Below are 22,293 nucleotides of genomic sequence, written 5' to 3'. Positions count from 1 at the left end.
GGCATGGATTCTTCAAATTAATGATGGAGGACTTGTTGCAATTCTATTATTATTTGATGCAAAGGACTATTCATGGTCATGACTAATCATTAAATGGCTGTAAACTTTTGAGAAAACACTTCCAAATACTGTGATAGCATATCGGCTGCAGTTGTTAAGGTGAGATTTGTCAGTCCTATACTGAGAAGGGTAACTGCTACTATTCCTCTCCAAATTGCCAATTGGATTCTCCTTTTCACATGATAGGAATGATACAAGTGTAAATGTTGACAGGCTTTATATTTTCCAGAGAGAAAACACCTTAGTTAATGTTATTGATACAAATAATAAGAGATAGAGTGAATGGGATAAGCTAATGATGCTCTGTCTTACAAGACTTATATAACCTTGAGAGCCAAATATATATATTCAGAGAGCAGTAACAAACATACAGGTTTAGTTACTATACATGGGATTACATGAAGAAAAAGCATTTATATCATGTGCACAACAGGGAGAAATTAAAAATCAGAAGAGAAAATAGAAAGGCAGCTCACTTGAATTAATTTACTTTTGAAGAAAATATAAATAGGATTTAAAAAGTAAGCCTTGATAGAATTTTTAATAAGAAAGTAAAAGCACATTATAAACTTTTGAATCAGAGGAGGGGAGTACTGTAGCACCCACCAATTCCTTAAAGAATCATAGAAAATTTGCTTTATTTATTATGGCTGAAAGAGTTCAAATCCAATTATGAGGATAGTGATATAGAAGAGAATATACTTGAACAGGGGGCTGAGTTTACTGACTTAATTAAAGCCATAGAATCTGAAAACAATTAAATAAAGAACTGAGGTCTGTTCATTCCAGTCCCAGTCATGGATCTGAGGCCATATATATAATAATTTGAACAAAGTTACCTGGAGTGGTATTCAAAGTTTCTTATCATTGGTAGGATGTAGAGCAGAATTTACAGTAGGCCTTATGGAAGGTAGGAAAGAGCCTCATACATGCTCTAAGTGAAATCTGGAGTGCATGAAGAGAACATCAGGGAGGAAACCAAGGTAAAGATGAAGTTACAGGTTGGAATGTGTGGTTGGAGAGAATATTACCTGCTTGTGCTACCTTTACATAAATACAAAATTGCAATTGTCATTCAATATGAATGGGACATTGTTGTCTTTGTGTTTCCACAGAGGATGAAGACTAAGCTCACTCTTCACCAAATTTTAATCAGCCATGCCAAATGGGATCCTTTGGAATTGCTCAAGCTCTCCACAATAGTAAACATTAAGCAATGCAGAATTCCAAGGGCGCAATAAGAGACTACTGTTGTAATTAAGAAAATGGTTCAGAAGGAAGTTCCCCTCCCCACATTAACTTCCTTTTTGTAGTTCTAACTGGTCAATAAGTAGGTAGCCCCTGGACAGTTACAGTAGAGTATCAAGGTGGTTCATTTGCATGCTTCATCTGTACCTGATATGATTAAGAATGTACAGAAAATAAAGTAGACAAGAGGCTCTGATATGTTATCAAGATTAACTACATAATTCGTAGAGCTGAGTATAAAATGAAAATGCATGGATACTTACTCAAAAATTATGAAGAATTTCAAGATAGCTACAACAGAGCATTAAACCAATCTCAGGGGCCTCCTAAGATTTTTTTTTTTTTTTAATTTCAAGTAGGAATATTTTAAGCTTTGCAGAATAGAAACAAGTATATGTTTACTGTCTTATCATGGATTTTTAAAAAAATTCATTATCACATTTCCATAATCTGGTAAAGAATAACCTAAAAGATAGAGTTCATATACTACTTTCATGGTATGATGATAATTTTCTTCTCAGAGCAAAAATTAGGAGAGGAGTTAAGGACCATAGTCACCCATATTACAAATAGAAGCTGGCTGATAAATCCAGCTATAATTTAAGGCACAGCCCAAGGTGCAAATTAATTCCTGGAAATTAGTACAGATCAACTTAGGACATTCCTTAAACTGCAACTAAATCCTGTAAATTAGTGCAGATCAACTTAGGACATTCCTTAAACTGTGAGAAGTAATTTATCTTTCATAGGACCCATCAATAAGCAATAAACTCAGAGACTGTCAAGACTGTTCTAAGAATCTTGTCTACCCATACTCACAAAATAACTGGAAAGAGTTCAGAACGTGAATACAGCATTGTAGTACTTTCCTAGGGCTGCTGGAACAAATTACCACAAACTGGGTAGCTTAAAACAACTGAAATTTATTATTTCACAGTTCTGGAGGCTAGAAGTCTGAAGCCAAGGAGTCAATAGGGTCACGCTTCCTTGAAAAGCCACAGAAAAAAATCTTTTCTTGCCCCTGCCTAGGTTCTACTCTCTCTTACAAATTTTTGGAGCTTTATTACTTATAGATTTATTACTCCAATTTCTGCTTTCATTTTCAATCTCTTCTCCATGGGTCCTCTCTTCTTATAAAAACACCTCCAGTCATTGGAATTAGGACCCTCCTTAATCTAGTAGGAGCTCATCTTAACTAATTATATGTGCAAATTTCTAAAGAAGGTCACCTTCTGAGATTCTGAATGAGTAATAATTTTAGAAGAGCACTATTTAACTCACTGCAGGTACGGAATAGAAATAAGCATGAAAAGTATTGTGGTAGGTGGTAGCACAGGCAATAACATTAGGCCCTTATGATCCCATCCAACTGGTCAGATGATATTAGGGCATACCCAAACTAGAGCCCTTTAGGAAAAGTTAAATGGGACCACCAATTTAGACTCCTCACGATTTTGACTCAAAATATGCCTGTGGCAGCTGTTTGCTATAATCCATTTGAAAGACACATGCTGTTGCACTGAATGACACAGCCAATGTCAACAGGAAGGACCAGCTACATAACTTCTGTAACCCAGTGAAAAATGAAAAGCAAGACCCCTTGCTCAAAAATTTTTAAGGGTTCATTTAGTGAAACCATTGCTTCCTGAGACTACTATGAGAAATAAATCACAAAATCCACTGTGCCTTACTAAAATCAACAGGTAGTAATGAGGGAGTGAAGGGGAATGCAATAATATATAACTTTATATCTTTCCCACATCTAATACTTTTATTTGGCCTCTAATGGTGGTCTCAAACCCAGTTTTAAGTTTACTTGCACCAGAGGAAGATTATACATTACCCAAGACGTGATATTCTTGTCATTTAATTTGACTGTGCCTTTTCTGAAAGGTAATTTGTGGTGGATCAAAAGTTCCTTCCTATGTAATCAAATTAGGGCTAAAGGTGAAGGTAGCTCCATTATCAAGCAGAGGAGAGACTTCTGAGGTCCTCTGTCTATCACTTATAACATTTGTTTGACAACAAACCCCATGACACAAGTTTACTTGTGTAACAAATCTGCACATGTACCCCTGAACTTAAAATAAAAGTTAAGCAAACAAACAAATAAAACCCAAACATTTGTTTGGGTGTGCTAGTAAGGTTCTTGTTATTGATTGTGTGGGCAAACATTATGCATGATGAGTTATACAGCCTGATATTGGGAGGAAGCATTTGGAAATAGGGTAAAATCATAGCAGATGGGAAAGGTGTTTATAAGTAGATTACATTACCGTGGAGGGAAGCCACTACAATATTTTCATGCAAACAGCTCAGAGTGAGGATATCATACTTAACTATCTTTTGCTATTTTCATCCAAATAAATGGGCTTTCTTGGTGAAAATCTCTTGGCCTGCTTACTGCAGAAAAGGAAAATTGGACTCCTACTGATTTGGATGTTCTACCTGTATAATTTGAATAAAACAAATGACAAAGTGCCCCCTGACAACTCAGCTTATGTGTAGTTGACTACAGTTATCACTCAGTTTCTAGGCTTTGTTTACCATTCTAGATTATTTTTTTCCAGAGAAACTACCAGTGAATTGTACAGAGCAGAGGATGCTGTACAATAGAATTTCTGCACTCTATATGGCCATAAATCAAAATGATACATTGCTAAGACAGCTCCCTGGTTATGATAGAAAGCAGATAGTGGCTGCCTGTCTGGTATGTCACAGCTTGATCTGATCTGTTGCTTTGAACATATCAGTGTGAATGTAAATGGAATTAATTTAAATAATATAAAACTAGAACCTAGAAAGCCTCAGAGAATGTGATTTTATGTTTGCTTTAATGCTTTAAAATTATAAATAACTCCCTCAAGAGGTACGTAGAGGACATTTAAGGGAAGCCTATGGCACAGCCAGATAAAACGGTATCTGGTGCTAGGATATACCTAATTGAGAATTTCATGAAGCACATTATTTGTAGGTGTAGACAATGCTTTCAAACTAGACACATTTAATTAGCACATAACATGAACTACGTAAGTGGCAAGTTAAGCAGCACTGGCCCCTTTGCCAGGCATTTTGAAAGAATTACAGGATTTGGTCATGTGATATTGAATCTAATTGAAGTAGTGTTCTAGGAGGCCCATCATTATGATAAAAATGACTTGCTACTTCAAATAGGGACACTAGAGGAAGCTGTTTTTAGAGGACTCAGTTGTAGTAGGAAATCAGTTTGGTTTAAGACAATGCTTGAACTGAAGACACTGAATAAATAATGACTTCCATTCTTATTAACAACACTAGGATTAACTTTGTACCTTTAGTCAGGAAGGACTATTGGATATATTAATCACTATGGGATATTATGTCTTTAATGTTGAGTTGCAGGAATTCATAAAAAAACAAGCTCAAGGTCGGGCACAGTGGCTCACACCTGTAATACCAGCACTTAGGGAGGCTGAGGAGTGTGGATCACCTGAGGTCAGGAGTTCAAGACAAGACTGGCCAACATGGCAAAACCCCATCTCTACTAAAAATACAAAAATTAGCCAGGCATGGTGGTGGGTGCTTGTAATCCCAGCTACTCGGGAGGCTAAGGCAGGAGAATTGCTTGAACCTGGGAGGTGAAAGTTGCAGTGAGCCGAGATTGTGCCACTGCAGTCCAGCTAGGTGACAAGAGTGAAACCCTGCCAAAAAAAAAAAAAGAAAGAAAGAAAAAGAAAGAAAGATAGAGAAAGAGAGAGAGAAAAAGAAAGAGAGAAAAAGAAAAGGAGAAAGAAAGAAAGAAAGGAGAAAGAAAGAAAGAAGGAAGAAAGAAAGAAAGAAAGAAAGAAAGAAAGAAAGAAAGAAAGAAAGAAAGAAAGAAAGAAAGGAAAGAAAGAAGCTGAAGAAGTAAAATTATGGGAAAAACGTGTTTAGCCTAAGTTATGGCAAGGTTTCACTGAACACTGTGACCTTTAATGTTGCTCCCTGACAGCCCTGGTAATATGGATGAAAAAGAAGTTTATCTCCCATGTGTGGAATTCGTAGAAAGTGGATGAATAAAGAACAATCCTTTGACATATGTAGGCCATGGGGTGTGGATGGGCTCTTTGACATAATGACCCCTGAAAATTAGTGTTTGTACCAACCTGGAATATACCTAAAATACAGTTCATAGAAACAAATTTTTTTCAGAAAATTTGATTTGAGAAGAAAAAATATGTATTCAATTAAATACTCCCATAGGCCCATGGAAAATGATGCAAATAATTGAGGTTGAGGGAGGAAAAAGGTAATTGAGTTTGTGAATGAACATCAAGAGACTTGTAAAGGAAGATGTTAATGAGTAACGTGCTTTGTGGAGGGAATTCCTACTCTCTGTTGGATGGTTCAAATCAAGGTCAGAGTATCAGTTGGCTTAAGTGAAACACTGCAGAAAATGGTGTAAGCCAATAATGATAATACACCAGCAATATTTGGCACTAAGATGTTGACCAAGGCCAGAGCAGACTGGGAAGGAAAGGGTCTTTGATTCTTTCTGATTACTGAGATGCCCTGCCAGGATCCACAGAAGGAAGGAAGCCCATTTTGCTTATATAAACATACTAATGACAGCTCCTGACAAACAATTTGTTTTTTTGCTAGCAGGAGAGTGATCATCTATCACAGAAATGCTTTTAGCAGAATGTACTTGGTCGTTTAGAATTGCTTATGGTTAACAAAGTAGAAGGTTGTGGATTTATGGGGCTCCCTGGAAAATGTCACATATACCACATATGTAACTATCTGCATAAAAATTAAGATATTTGATAATTGAGACAGTTATCTCCATGTAAATAAATTGTCGGCATACCTCTCTAGAAGTCTCATCTTTCTGCCTGGGCAAGGGAGTATCTAATGATAGAACCCAGGATCTAAAGAATCAGATTAAGAGATCTAAATAATTCTCTGATTTGCCCATGCCTAATGATTACCTGAGTTCGTGAAATTACTAGTAAAGCTTTATTTTGTGAGATCTTAGATTCCGATAAGTCTAATGTCACAATCAAATCAGTTTTTCCTATCTCAAGAAATCATGTCCATATAATGGAATTAATCCAGAAACTCTGAAAAGTTTTAATATTCTGGGGTCAGGGTAGATGAGAAGGAGTCTCCGTATGACTTATAAACATGTAAGGAGAAATAGTAAAATTGTTGTAAAATTAAAAGAAGAACAGAAATTCATAAAATAAGCTATAACAATCAGGTTAAACAACAAAAACAAAAAGCAAAGCATCTATCAGTAACATGATTGAATAGAAGAGCCGAGAGAGAGTTGTCAGTGGTAAAGGAATAAATATTATCTCATTTGATAGAGTGATTGTATTAGTCCATTTTAACACTGCTGATAAAGACATACCCACGACCAGACAACTTACAAAAGAAAAAGGTTTATTGGACATACAGTTCCGCATGGCTGGGGAGGACTCACAATCATGGCAAAAAGGAGCAAGACACATCTTATGTGGGTGGCAGCAGGCAAAAAAAGAGCTTGTGCAGAGACAATCCTGTTTTTAACACCATTAGATCTTGTGAGACCCATTCACTATTATGAGAACAGCATGGGAAAGACCTGCCCCCATGATTCAGTCTTCTCCAATCAGGTCCCTCCCACTACATATAGAAATTATGGGAGCTACAAGATGAGATTTGGATGGGGACACAGAGCCAAACCATATCATTTCACTCCAGCCCCTCCCGAATCTCATATCTTCATGTTTCAAAACCAGTCATGCCTTCCCAACAGTCCCCCAAAGTGTCAACTCTTTTTAGCATTAACTCAAAAGTCCACAGTCCAAAGTTTCATCTGAGACAAGGCAAGTCCCTTCCACCTATGAGCCTGTAAAATCAAAATCAAGTTAGTTACTTCCTAGATACAATGCGGTTACAGGGGTAAAGGGATTGGGTAAACACAGCCATTGCAAATGGGAGAAATTGGCCAAAACAAAGAGGCTACAAGCCCCATGCAAGTCTGAAATCCAGAAGGGCAGTCAAATCTAAAGCTCCTTTGACTCCATGTCTCACATCTAGGTCATGCTGATGCAGGAGGTGGATACCCATGGTCTTGGGCAGTTCCACCCCTCTGGCTCTGCAGGGTACAGTCTCCCTCCTGGCTGCCTTCACGGGCTGGTGTTAAGTGTCTGCAGCTTTTCCATGCACACAGTGCAAGCTGTCAGTGGATCTACACTTCTGGGGTCTGGAAGACGGTGGCCCTCTTCTCACAGCCCCACTAGGTGGTGCCCCAGTAGGGATTCTGTGTGTGGGCTCCCTCCCCACATTATCCTTCTGCACTGCCCTAGCAGAGGTTCTCTATGAGGACCCCACCCATATGGCAAACTCCTGCCTCGGCATTCAGGCGTTTCCATACATCTTCTGAAATCTAGGCAGAGGTTCCCAAACCTCAATTCTTGACTTCTGTGCACTCATAGGCTCAACACCACATGGAAGATGCCAAGGCTTGGGGCTTGCACCCTCTGAAGCCATAGCCTGAGCTCTATGTTGTCCCCTTTCAGCCATAGCTAGAGTTGCTGTGATGCAGGGGATGAAGTCCCTAGGCTGCACACAGCAAAGGAACCCTGGGCCCAGCCCACAAAACCGCTTCTTCCTCCTAGGTCTCTGTGCCTGTGATGGGAGAGGCTGAGGTAAAGACCTTTGACATGTCCTGGAGACATTTTCCCCATTATCTTATGCAAATGTCTGTAGCTGGCTTGGATTTCTCCTCAGAAAATGGGATTTTCTTTTCTATTGCATTGTCAGGCTGCAAATTTTCCAAATTTTTATGCTCTGCTTGCCTTATAAAACTGAATGCTTTCAACAGCACCGAAGTCACATCGTAAGTGCTTTCCTGCTTAGAAATTTCTTCTGCCAGATACCCTAAATCATGTCTCTCAAGTTCAAAGTTCTACAAATCTATAGGGCCGGGCAAAATGCCACCAGTGTGTTTGCAAGACTCACCTTTACTCCGGTTCCCAACAAGTTCCTTATCACCAGCTGAGACCACCTAGCCTGGATTTCATCGTCCATATCACTGTCAGCATTTTGTTCAAAGCCATTCAGCAAGTCTCTAGGAAGTTCCAAACTTGGCCACATTTTCCTGTCTTCTTCTGAGTCCTCCAAACTGTTCCAACCTCTGCCTGTTACCCAGTTCCAACGTCGCTTCCACATTTTTGGATATGTTTTCACCAGCACCCCACTCTACTGTAACAATTTACTGTATTAGTTCATTTTCATGCTGCTGATAAAAACATACCTGCAACTGGGCAATTTACAAAAGAAAGTGGTTTGTTGGACTTACAGTTCCACATGGCTGGAGAGGCATCATAATCATGGTGGAAGGCAAGAAAGAGCAAGCTACATCTTACATAGACGGCAGCAGGCAAAAAAAGACATTGTTCAGAGAAACTCCCATTTTTAACACCGTCAGATCTCGTGAGACCCATTCACTATCACGGCAACAGCATGGGACAGACCTGCCCTCATGATTCAGTCATCTCCCACTGGGTCCCTCCCACAACACGTGGAAATTATGGGAGCTACAAAATGAGATTTGGGTGAAGACACAGAACCAACCCATATCAGTGATTATTTAAGATTTTTTGGAGAAGCCTAACTGTTCAAGGAAGGTGTGTGATGGCAAAGAATAAAAGCTACAGATAATGACATGGCATCAGCTTGATTGGATCCATATTTTGTGGGATCTACAGCACATTCAATTTGGAGGTCAGGGTTTGGGGCTCGTCAAGCAAGAATACAAAACTACAAACTCAAAACTGGAAACTCAAATGCAAATGAGGTGGCCAGAAATGTAAGCCTCATAACTTAGGATAACAGAACAAAAGCTGATAAACATTTTCTATAAAGGGCACAATAGTAGATACTTTAGGCTTGCAGGCCATATTGTTTGTGTTGTAAATATGCAACTTTGCCTTTGTAGTGCTTAAGCAGCTGTAGGCAATATGTAAAGGAATGTCTGTGGCTGAGTTCCTATAAAATTTTATTTATAAAAACCCATGGCAGCCTGGCTTTGGCTCATTGGCTATAGTTTGCCTACCCCTGGCTTAATAAATCTGCCTCTATTCATAAGTAAGATTCTGCTTGTGTTTTGACTTTGCCGTGTGCTCAAGGAAGGTAAGTAAAATTAAAATGTCTAGGAGAAGAAAGTGTAAATAACAACAAATTCCTGTTGGCAACGTATTTATGAATATGGAAGAAGAGATGCCCTCTTATCCTGTGAGATGGAAAGAAAAAAAGCCAAGAACAAATACAAATTAAAGCAAGCAAGTCTAAAATAAGAGAATTAACATTATTCTGGGAAGTAGAAGACAAAGTACTTCTGCTAGGAATGGGAAGACCAAATACGGACTGGAGTATTTGAAAACTCGGTGGATATTTGGAATATCTGTTGTGGACAAAAAAGAGAGAGAGAAAATAAACAGATCAAAAAGTCAAATAATTTGAAGTGATTATAGGGAAAAGTGATCTGGACACACAGTTTGTGTCATTCACAAAAGCATCTGACCAAGAGAGTAAACTCTGTGCCCTGCAGTCAAAAGTTACTATTAAAATTTCATCATTCAGATTCAGGGCTTATTTCTAGTTGATACAAAAGTGGCATCTTGCCCTACATAATGTTATACTTTTTGTTATTCAGAAATGTTGAAGTTTCTATGCATGAGGTTTTTGGTTATTTGACATAATGATTTATTTCACTCATTGTGTTTATCTTATCCAGATTAGATAGAAATTAACCAATTTTAACTTTCTGTCTGTTCTGTATGTTTTAGTAACAAGTAATTCAGGAGTGCATGCAAATGCAACATTAAATGAACAGATGATAAAATAGAGTATATTTGCATAAATATAAAGACTTTTCATATGTTATAATAAACAGTATCAAAAACATTATTTGTCTTAAACTGTTTAAAAAATGCCAATATAAGTCATTTTTAACCTAGTATCAAAATCGTAATCATGTGAAAAGTAAATATTTCTTTAAGTTTTGTAAAATATTTGATGTAGAATATTTTGCTCCAAATTAATTAGGAGAATTTCATAGTGTCTTATAATTAAGCTGCCCTTAAATACGCCTGAACCTTCATGCAAACGTCTGTGGTTATTTGTCTCCACATGTTTCAGCAGATGAGGTGATTTGAATTCAGCAAAAAATTTAATAGCTTAAGTTGAAACAGGAATTATCCTAAGGGAATCTGTAGAAATGCATTCAAGAGCAGACGAGCTATATCTATTTCTTTCATGCTTTGGTGTAGTAAGTAATTGTTCATAGCCAAACACTTTACGAAGATAAATGATTGATATAATGAATGACCCGAAGATGCCCAAGAGCACATGAAAACAGAAATGCCTTTGTTCTGAAGGAGAATGTCTTAGTATAGTTATAAATTGAATGTAAAAATTGTGGCTGAAATTATTCTAAAAATCACAAGAAGCTGCATTTAAACTGTGCTATGGCATCTATTCAAAAGATTGGAAACCATTTGTTTTCTGAATTGCACCCAACATAAAGCTTTCTCACACAGAACAAAACAGAAGTGAGCATCAGTCACACTTCCAACATGCATACATTTTGTTCTAAAGGAACAGCTGTTACTTGATGAAAAGTCGATGAAAGATGCCCAGCATTTGTTTTTAAAAAGTTATCACCCAAACAAGAATTGTTTGGAACCAGATGCTAAAATTGAGAGTGGTCTGTTTATTTCAGTTGAGAGTGTTATAAAAATGTTAATAAGGTATTTTTATGTCTATTACCCAGCTATATTTGACTTTTTAATGTGCTTTTTGTTATAATCGGCTGTTGTTTCTATAGGCTGGCATTATTGGCATTAGATCACTGAAGAGTAAATAAAGTGAGCAAGAATACTCTCTTGTCACCAGATTACTGAGGTGTACTGGAGATAGGTTGAATGGTTTTACAGATGAATTACAGTGAAAACTTTGAAACACTAATAATCTCTTCTGTGTTGAGAAATAACCTACTAATCATTAACTTAATAATTATCAGCTCAGCCAGGAAACTACACCACCTAAAAGGTAGTTAATTTTATCACTCCTAGACATCTACAGGAGACCATGATTCTCCATTATGTGAATGCCTTGCTGCCCATGTGATGCCTGCCCCCATCAATTCTAAGAAGCTTCAGTCATTTAGTACTTTATATGTAATTTTTAAAAATTACATAAGTAATACCTTCTTCTTATAGAGAACTGAGACTTTCAGAAACAGTTAAAGCCTAATTTGAATATTGCCAAAGCCCTGTCTCTTCTTCAGAGACAACCAGTGTTTCCAGTTTGGTGTGTATTTTTCCCAAATACAGTGAATGCGTGTATAAACACGTGTAGATTTACCTGTCCTAGATATGAGCATTTGCTTTGTGAGTCTGCTTTAAGTCAAGTTCTAAGCTATGGCTCAGTTTAAAACTTCTCTTTTTCTATTTAATAATATACCTTAGAAGTCATGCCATGATATTAAGATGAATAATAATGAAATTATTAATATTAGTCAAATTTAATTAGTTGCTTATTACGTAGTGGGTACTTGGTGTGATACATGGATTATCTCATTTAATCATCATGACAAGCTAATAAATTGGCAATGCTATTATCTCCACTTTACAGAAGAGAAAAAAGATTGTAAGTACTTTGCTCAAGGTCATTTACAGGGAGAGCAAATTATTCAAATCCAGATATTCTGCTCTCAGAGATTGTATTATTAACTATTATGCCACAATAGAGGCATTGTAGTCTGCATGATAGTCCAACTATTTTTATTTGTAGTTATATACTGATGAATATTTAGAGTTTTTTTTTAAAATTACAACACAATACTGCAATTGACATTCTCGCATGATTATCTACCATATATTTCCAAAAGTGGAAAGGCAGACATATGTGTTTAGTTTTTACAGGATGTAGACTATATAACAATTGTACTCCAAAGGAGATCTTGGTTATACATTTATACCAGCATAGTTTGAGCCTACCCTCTTCCCTGTACCCTCAAAACCCTTGTTAACATCTTATGTTTTGCCAATCTGCTGAAGAAAAAATGGTATCCAATTGTTTAATTCAATTACTTGATTACTAGTGAAGTAAGAATTTTTTTATATTTATCATAATTTGTATTGCCTCTAATCTGAAAGGGTTATTCATATTTTTTGCCTACTTTTCTATTAAGTCATGTCTCTCTAAGATCTAGCTTAAACATTACTTTTTCCAAAAAATCTTCCCTGATCTCCCACAACTGAAAACATTATCTTCCTACTTTAGTTTCTTACAATATTTTATCTATATCTCTCTTATAACACCACTTTCTACTTTGTATAATTGTTATTTTAGTACTATCTAATCAGTCCTTTAATTTCCTTTGGGGACTATTTTATGCTGATTAATCCTTATGACACATATTATCCACATTTTTTGGACAAAATTCTTCAATGAAGATAGATAATTAAAATTAATAAAAATTAAAATAATTAAAAATTTAATTAACTTAGCTTTTAATTTTTTAATTATCATGTAGGCCACCTACTGAGATATACAATTTTTGGTCTAAAGTATTACTTTGAAACAATTATAAGGAAACTAGAAAAAAAAATTTTACTATTCTAAGATACTTCAGATTGGAAAGTTTCTTGTTCTATATAACAAGATTTACTCTTTCCATATATTCTAGGATAAATTCATCATCTCTCTAAAAACTTTCCTAATTTTTGTCATTCAGAAAAATAGCCAATTCCTGTCCTTCATTAAATTTTAATGAATAATCAGTCAATTTTAAAACTCCTGAAAAATTCATATTAAAAAAGAAACATTTATATTATTAAAAAAAATAATTACAAAATGCCCATATAAATATTATTTAGGGCCAGGCACACTGGCTCACACCTGTAATCCCAGAACTTTGGGAGGCTGAGGTGGGCAAATCACTGGAGCCCAGGGTTTGAGACCAGCCTGGGCAACATGACAAAACCCTGTCTCTACAAAAATTTTAAATATTAATCAGATGTGGTGGTGTGCGCCTATAATCCCAGCTACTCAGGATGTTGAGGTGGGAGTGACAGGGATGGGGGGTGGGGAAATTCTGGGCAAAAGAGGGCAGGTCCCTGGCAAGGGCTCCACCCTCAAGCCTGGAACCACAGCCCAAAGTGAGAACATACATTCCTGTTTTCCCACTCAAATGTTGCCTTTTACAAAGTTACTCATGACCTCCCCTGTCCCCCATCCTGTGCCCATAAAAACCCCAGACTCAGCTAGCAAAAAAGAGAAGCAGCTGAACATCAAAAGAGAAGCAGCAGCTGGGCATCAGAGACTACGGTTGGACGTTGGAGAGAAGCAGCTTGATTTCAGAGAGACAGCTTGACAGTGCAACTTTGGAAAAGAGTCCAGCCAGAAACCTTCCTGCTACATCTCCTTCCCAGCTGCCCTTCCTGCTGAGAGCCACTTTCCTTGGCAATAAAATCCTCTGCATTTATCATCCTTCAATTCGTTCCTGTAAGCTGATTTTTCCTGGATGCCAAACAAGAGCTTGGGAGTGAGTGTGGATACAAAAAGGCATGCTGAGCTGCTAACACTTCAGCTGTCTGAAGATGGCAGAGCTAAAGGAGCACTGTAATATGCCCACTGGGGTTTCAGGAATCACAGGCACCCCCTCAAACCCAGGTGCTGCTATGGGGCCCACATGGAGTTTGCTCCTGCCAACACCCCAAAGCTCTCTTCCTGGCTCCTGTACCTGCTCACCTGCATGCTCTCTCCTGCAAGGTGTGGAACACAGCAGGTCAGAGTGGGTGAGTTCACTCCTTCTGGCACCAAAGAGGCCACTGGTTCCAGCACTCATGTACTCCAGTTCCTGCCTTGTTCAGTTGTGCATTCCCTCCCTCGAGGAGTTGAGAGCAGTGGGCTGAGTAAATGGGGCACCCCTGTCACGAGTCCCATGAAGGGGTCAGGGAAATGCCCTGCTTCAGGAGGATCTCTTGAGCCCAGGAGGTGAAGGATGCAGTGAGCCAAGATCGTGCAACTGAACTCTGGCCTGGGTGACAGAGTGAGACTCTGTCTCAAAATAAATAAATAAATAATTTAATTAATTAAATTTAGCTTATTCTTTTGAACATCGTTCTTCATAGTGTTATAAAATACATGATTTAAGACAGTGAGAAACAGAGATAAGCCAATGATGGATTTCTAATAGAATTCAGAGTGGGACTTGTTTGAACATTTCAACCAAATAACAAAAGATTCCTGCAATTAGTTGACTCTTCAGTCTACCTCAGTTTTAAACATGTCTCAGGTTGCCCTTAACAAACGAGTATAGTTTACTTTGGGCTGATAAATTCTGTGGATGGCAAGAGGTTGTGAATATCCCTTTATAAACCCAGAACTAATGCTACATATCCCTGGCATTAGTGCCTTATTTATCTAAACTTACAAATGTATTGGGCAAAATTCCGGGATATGGGCACAGAATTAATAACTGAATACCTTATTTTGTATGGTCATTTGCTCACTGACAAAGATAGAGAAGCAGCTGAAATTCATGATTATGATCCCTAGTTACATCTCTCTTTAAGTCCTTATGTTTGATTCCCTGGGAGTTTCAGCACATTTATATAGCAGCACCCAAGTTTTTATAATCTGTTAAGTATTACTACCCAGGATTAGCTACTGAAGAATCAAGAACCAGTAGTTGATGAACTTGAAAGACAATTATTCTATATAGTGTTTCTTGAGGACACTAATTTCTTGAGATAGAATGAGAGGAAAACATAATATCCACAAACAGAAATAAATTTTGGAATATTATATGCTTTAGCTTCCTCTTGGATATTTACAAAAATATTAGCATATTGACAGTTACAGAATGAAGAAACCTTTTTAGCTACATTTAAACTAGTGCTAGAGTTTGAATATATTTCCTCCAAATTCATGTTTAAGTTTAATCCTCTAAGTGATGAGGAAGTGGGGCCTCTGGAGGCAATTAAGTTATGATGGCTGTGCACTCATGAATGAGATTAATATCCTAATAGAGGAAGCTTCTCTGAGAGCTTCCTGGCTCTTCCATTTCTTCTGCCATGTGACAACATGGCATTTGTCCATTTTGTCCCTTTGCTTTTCCTACCCTGTGATTAAGTCATGCAAAATGACATCTATGAAACAGGCCCTCATCAGACAATGAATATGTTGGTGCCATAATCTTGAGCTTCCCAACTCCTGGAACTTTCAGAAATGCATCTCTGTAATCATAAATTACCCAGTCTGTGGTATTTGTTATAAGACCAGGAACAGACTAAAATAGCAAATGCTTTCCCCCATCCCTGACTACTTTCAGAATGTTTAAGAGTTGTCCATACAGTTTCTTATGGCAATTATGAGGCAGATATTTTTCAGGAAAGTGGCATGCATATATGTGAATTTTTTTAGAGGAGTTGAAAAGCAAAACAAAACACTTGTTTGGCAATGTTCATTCCTCATAGAATCAGTGCTATTCACTTTGGAAAATATCTTGGTATCCTGCTTGTTGCCTTATTAGTTGTTTTTCTCTCATTGCAATCAGCTATTGCCATGTACCTTTTGCATTTGGTGGTCAGGGTCTTCGGAATCGCATGAATCTGATATCAAATCCCAGTTGTATTGCTGATTAGCTGTGAAAAAAGATTTTAAACTTATTATTTTCAGTTTACTCATTTATTAAGTACCAATATTAATATTGAAACTGGAGAAATAGATTAAATGGCATACTGAATGAAAATAAGCTTATATAGTAATTGTTACATAGGAAAACTCTCAATAAATCAATGCTGTTATTATTACCATTAATATTCCCTAGATGTGAAGATTGCCTTCAGAGGAAACATACTAGAGAAAAAAAAATGAGTTTTACAGAAGTTTTTCAGCAGAAGTTGATTGGTTTTACACACACACATATACACGCACACATATTTACACACATAAATATGTATATTTTATATATATATATGCACACACGTTTCTATTTAAAATGAAAAAAGTACGTTAGTCATGTGTGCCCAATTTTCTGATACACTAAAAAATGGAAATATCTTGGCAGACACTATTGATAGGCTATGCAAATGTGAACTTCTCTTGCCTAGTTTTTTATTTGGAAAGTAAAATATCCATGTTTCTTGGTGTGGCCATGTGAATTTTGTGACATTGAAATGGATATCATAAGATAGGCTCCTAGGAAAGCGTTTAAAAACGCACAAACTTGGCCTGCATGGCTTTGGTCTTTTGCCCCTTTGCCCTTTGCTGCTTCAGTCTTTCCTATTTTTCTTGGCTGCAATATGAGCAATCATGTCTCAGGGTGCTACAGGCATCATGCTATCTTATATCATACCTCTTTCTAAGGAAATGCTATTAATGTCCCTGCATGTGTATAACAAATCTTCAGCGTCCCTGTGTGGCTGCTCTTCTTATCCTGTCCTGGTTTGTACTCTTTCTTTTGTAGAAGTAAGTAAACAACTTGCCTGTGAAAACTGCTTTTAATTGCACCGTGTATTCCTTATAGCTAAACCCTATCTACCTGAAACCTATATTGATACTTATGCCATATATTTAGTTTGGAGATCAGATTAAATTTAGAGTTCCATTAATTCCATAATAAATATTTTTGAGTGGCTAGTATGGGTAATATGATATTTTAGCTACTGGTATAATGTGGTGAACTGAAGATATGACTTGAAATGTTTGTAACTTATATGATAATAAGTGGAGAGAGCTGAAAATTAGGTAAATAAATAGATAACCACAGATTTTGATCTGTTATACAAATACGATAAATATAGCAGAAAGGACTGTAAGCTAAGGAGTAGAGTAAGAGAAAGCAATTATAAAAAGATTGGCAACTAAATGTTATCTAACAAGTGATACTTAAAGGCTGAGATACTTTAAACTATAAGACAGTTTTGTAAAAATCTTGGAAACTGTGTTTTTTAAGTTAATGGTGCAATTTATCTACTGTGTAAATACAAGTGCTGGTTTGTTGAAGGAGCAGGAAAAAAAAGCAGATTAGTTTGAGTATGGGGAAAGAGAAGGAGATTGGGGAAAGAGAAGGAGATTGGAGAGAGGTTGACGAACTAAGCATATGCCAGTTTATATAGAGTTTATGTAACAAAGAAGAGATTTTTTGTGCATCAAGTTGTATTGCTGCGTAATACTATACCCCAAACTTACTGGTATAAAATAGTAAACTTGTATTATGCTCACAGGTTCTGTGGGTCAGGAATTTAGAAACAGGCACAATGGGCATGCCCCTTTTCTGCACCTCAATGATGAGGCCTCAGCTGGGAAGATTTACATGTCTGGATGCAACTCAAATAGCTGAGGGCTAGGACAGCTGGGACTGGAGTGTCCACTTCCAAAATTGCTTTTTATGCCCGTATCTGGCACTTGGCCTTGTGTATTTGAAGCTGGGAGTGAACTGGGATTGTCAACCAGAACTCCTATTCATGGTCTATCCTCATGGCTTGGGTTTCTCCCAGCCTGGCAATACTGGGGCCTTCCTGAGATGGAGGATTCTGAAAAACAGTGAGCAGAAGTCAGATTGTCAATCTAGGCCACGTCTCAAAAGTTACACAGCATTGCTTTTTTTGGTATTCTCTTAGTCAAAGAAGTTAAAAGTCCTCCCAGATTCAAGGTCAGAGACCCCAGTCCCCACATCTCGATGAAATGACAGTTGAAGAACTCTGAGGAGATATTTTATAACCATTACATTATATCAAATGAAAAAAGGTGATTTTTTATGTCATTTAATTTGTCCCACAATATTGACTTTTTACTCTTCTCCATGTCCTGATACTCATAATCTTCATCAATTTTCTCCATTAAACTCCATCTTTCAGGGACACTTCTAATACATTATTTTATACTAAATTGTAAACTAGAATTAATTTTTGAAGTATTGCCACTTGCAGGGGGATGTATATTTAATTTACAGAATTATAAATCTAGACAATAATGAACATTGTTAGGATTTTCTATCAGAATTATTTTAATTAATAAATGTTACCTTTAAATTTTTTTTAATCATCCTTTTTTAAGCATTTATTCAGTCGGGACTTTCAGTTCATGTACTTTCCTCTAAATTAAAATCAGATATCATTTGTAGAATTTTATGCAACGACTAAGATGGTTTTTTGGGAGATGATATTCATTACCAAATTTTCTGAAAATATGTAGTATTTCCATTATACCATGATTTCTTATATTACAATAGATTTTTTAAAAAATTTCAATAACATTAAAAGTATTTCTAAATACATCTTAATTTAAAGTAGTTAATTTTAAAATATTTAGTCATTTACTTATAGAATTTAATTTAAATTACCGAGGTGTGTGCATGAGATCAAAAATTATTCTACATTTGCAGTATTTCACAGTGTTTTGTTTTATTTATAATTCGTGTTCCTTCTATGTGTGGAAAAAAAAATAAGGCTTGTCATGTTCATAACAAAATGCTAAAACCTTTAAGAAAGAATGGAAACTACAACAGAATATTTCTAATTTCAGTTGTATTCCATGTCTGCCATTATACAGATTGTTTAGAGAATCTCCCAAATTACATTCTACATAAAAAGAAATTGAATGTCAGTGTATCAAACAGAACCATTTTAAACAGTCATGCAAGATGGAGAGAGGAGGTATAATAATGCGGGCCCTGAAATGTTACGGTATGATAGAGTCATAGTTTTATGATAGTTTTTTTCACTTTAATTTCCAGGAACAATCATGAAGTTTAAGAAGAAAGAATACTATCAGAAAAGAGGCAATTTTTTTTATATTTAAAAAGTTCCCATTTTCCAGTCTATTCATTTTTATGCATCAACTCTCATTTTATGTTGACAATTTCATAATAACTATATTTACCTTTATTTTTATCCATATGCATTTCATTTAAAAGTGAAAACTTCAACTCAAAATGTAAAAAGAACTTGCCTCCAAAGAGCTCTACTACTCTGTCTTTCCTATTTCATCCAATGTTACGACTACAATTCCCATCTGTCAAACACAGCAGAGTCAATTGGTAAGTCATTGATGTTTCTTTTTATATTATTTTTCATGAAGTTTCTTTATTTTCCAGTTCTGTTGTATGTCACCTCAAATATCCATACAACACATTATTTTAATCTCCTTCCCTCTAAGCATTCCTGTTCCACTTAATCTAACACAATGTTCTCAAAGATATGACAAACTGCAACTCTTAAAAAACCTTCAGACTTTCCACTGAACTGAACAGAATTAGAATAGATGATTATTTCAGTCATGTGTTGGTATATAACAAAATACCCCCATCACCTATTCTTCCTCCTCTTAAAGTCAATGTATTATTAAAACGTCCAACTTCCTTTTATGAAATATTTCACACATGCCCAAAACTGAAAAATAATTGATACAGCAACATAACCAGAAACAAGATTATAAGAAATTCTACAAGGGATAACTACAGGCTAAAATTGTTTAGCATCCCCTTGTATATTTCTCTATTTTTAAGTACAGGTCTGTGTATAGAATATTTTATACAGCATATGGTAGTGTTTGTATCTTCAAATTTAAATAAGATGTTATTGTTTTCTCTGTATTATTTCAACACATGCTTTATAATCTCACTATGATATTTTTGAGATCCATTCCAGCTGATACTTGGGTATCTGTTTTTGTTTAATTTCTATATGGGATTTCATTATATATATAATATAAAGCTATCAATTTTCATATCAGGAAATACTGGCATTTTTATATTTACCATTGTAAATGTTAAAAACAAAGCTACAATAAATATTTATGGTTTTGTTGTTTATATATATTAGAATTTTCATAGGATAGACATAGAGCAGGGAAATTTTACAATTTTGGGCACTTTCATCCTTACATTGTCAAGCAGTTTTCCAAAGTCGTTGTATGAATTTATCTTCCCACTATACAATTGTTAGAGTTCCTGTTTTCTAATAGCCTCATCAAAGAGGAAAATTTCTCAAGTATTAAGCAGTAAAGTAAAAAAAAAAGTCATCATTCTACAAATTCAATTTTACTAAATAAAATATATTTTATATTTTCTTTAAAAGTGATACAAGATGTCTTTCACATTTGAAGTTAATGTGATGTTAGAATACAATTTACAATTTTTCTATATGTTAATCAAATGTGTCACTGCTATTTTATGAATAGTTATTCATTTTTCTGGGTGATATGACAATTCATATGTAAAATATCGAAAGTCTTCCATGAATTTTTGAATTTCCTGCTATAGTCCAGTGAACAAATTGTTCATCTCTGAGTCAATGCCACACTAACATAATGACTATAATTCATAATCAATTCTTATTGAATATCTGCTCAGTGCCAGTATATGAGTTTGCTGGATCTGTTATAACAAATTACCACAAACGTAAACGTTTAAAGCAACAGAAATATATTCTCTTAGAGTTCTGTAGGGCAGAAATCTGAAATCAAGGTATAGGTAGGCCCACTTTCCTTCTCAAGTTTTTATGGGTGGATCCTACTTTACTTCTTTCAGCTGCTGGTGGCTCAAGGCGTTCTTTTGTTTGTAGCTGCATAACTCCAAGCTCTGCTTTCATCCTCAAATAGCCGTCTTCTCTTTTCTGTATCTTCTCCTCTTCTGTCTTTCATAAGAACACTTATTGGATTTAGGGTGCACTAGGATCATCCAGTATGATGTCATCTCAAGATCCTTATTAATATATACAAAAAAATTAGGTCACCTCTACAATTTCTGTGGGCTAGCATATGGAAAGATATGTGCATATTTATCATATTTTGGGAGGCACCATTGAATCTACTAGAGACAAACATCTACATTTAGGATATTAAAGAAAAAAATCCTTGCCTCCGTAAAGATTACAGTCAGATATAGGATGACACAAAAGAAATAAAATATAGACAGGTGTTGAAAAGTTATATATTTTGTGAAGAAAATAAAGTAAGGAAGGATACACAGTAATAGCGGCAGATTACAATTTTAATTAATGTATTCAGTAAGTAACATTGTAAAAATAGCATTGAAATAAACACATCAAAAGGCTGAGGGAAGAAAAAGAATACAGTTTTTCTCTACATCCCAAATTACTTCTGATTGAATGTTTTTACTGGGATCTGTTTCTGGGAGAGACTAAGAGAGTGACTAACTTTGGATAGATTCTGAAGGTAAAGCAAGCAGCAAGACTCGCTGAAAGGTTAGATGTACAATTCTTGAAAAAGAAAATAAGTAGGATTGACTCTAAGATTTTTGCTCTGAGACAAATTGTCGTATGTGAGAATGTGCATTTCAAAGTTGAGATGTTTATTAGCTTCTCAAAAGAAGACAGTATAAGAAGTTGGATGTAAGAGCCTGGCATTTAGAAGAGAAGTAAGAGGCAGAGGTACAAATTTGCAAGTTCTTAGCATAAACAATATTGTAAACCATGGCTCTGTGAGAACTCATCAAGGGAGTGGGGGTGGACACAGAAGTGTTCCAAAGACTAAGAAATAGCATACAAAGACATAAGAAGAAAGCCAAGAGGACATGTGTTCTGGAAGCCAAAGAAAAAAAGCTGGTTTTGTTTGTTTGTTTGTTTATGTGTTTTTGTTTGTTTGTTTTTTAATTAAAGAAAAAGAGACTACTGATAGATCAATAAAATGAGAATAAAAAATTAACCTTTATATTTTGGAACATGAAAATAATTAGCGATTTGAAAGGAACATTTAATTGAAATGGTCAATACTTTTCTAGTATTTTAATTGTAACTCATGCCTCACTTTGTTACCCAGGTTGGACTGGACTCCTGGCCTCACATTTTTAAATAATTAATGCTTATTTAGATTTACCCTTACATTTAACAGGTTTACAGTTGCCACTTGCTTCTCACACTTGTCTTTTTTAGTGTTTTCTTTTTTCTTTCTTTGTTACTTTAAAAACAGTTGTTCAATGAATCCATGAGTGTGCTTTCT

At 35.9% G+C, this 22,293-nt stretch overlaps 1 long non-coding RNA gene across 1 annotated transcript in view; it reads right to left on the bottom strand.

Annotated features, from left to right (window-relative positions):
- The window catches only part of LOC105377425 (uncharacterized), a 64,594-nt gene that overhangs the window by 22,287 nt on the left and 20,014 nt on the right, over positions 1-22,293 (bottom strand). The window contains exons 3-4 of the long non-coding RNA XR_007058477.1: positions 17,557-17,867; positions 15,901-15,974 (exon numbers count right to left, since the gene is read on the bottom strand). This is a non-coding gene — a long non-coding RNA (uncharacterized LOC105377425). The remainder of the gene's footprint in view (positions 1-15,900; positions 15,975-17,556; positions 17,868-22,293) is intronic.

The sequence above is a fragment of the Homo sapiens genome, chromosome 4 (assembly GCF_000001405.40).
Source record: "Homo sapiens chromosome 4, GRCh38.p14 Primary Assembly".
In the NCBI taxonomy this organism is placed as follows: domain Eukaryota; kingdom Metazoa; phylum Chordata; class Mammalia; order Primates; family Hominidae; genus Homo; species Homo sapiens.
The sequence above is the reverse complement of the archived record's forward strand: the minus strand, read 5'-3'. Positions and strand labels throughout refer to the sequence as shown.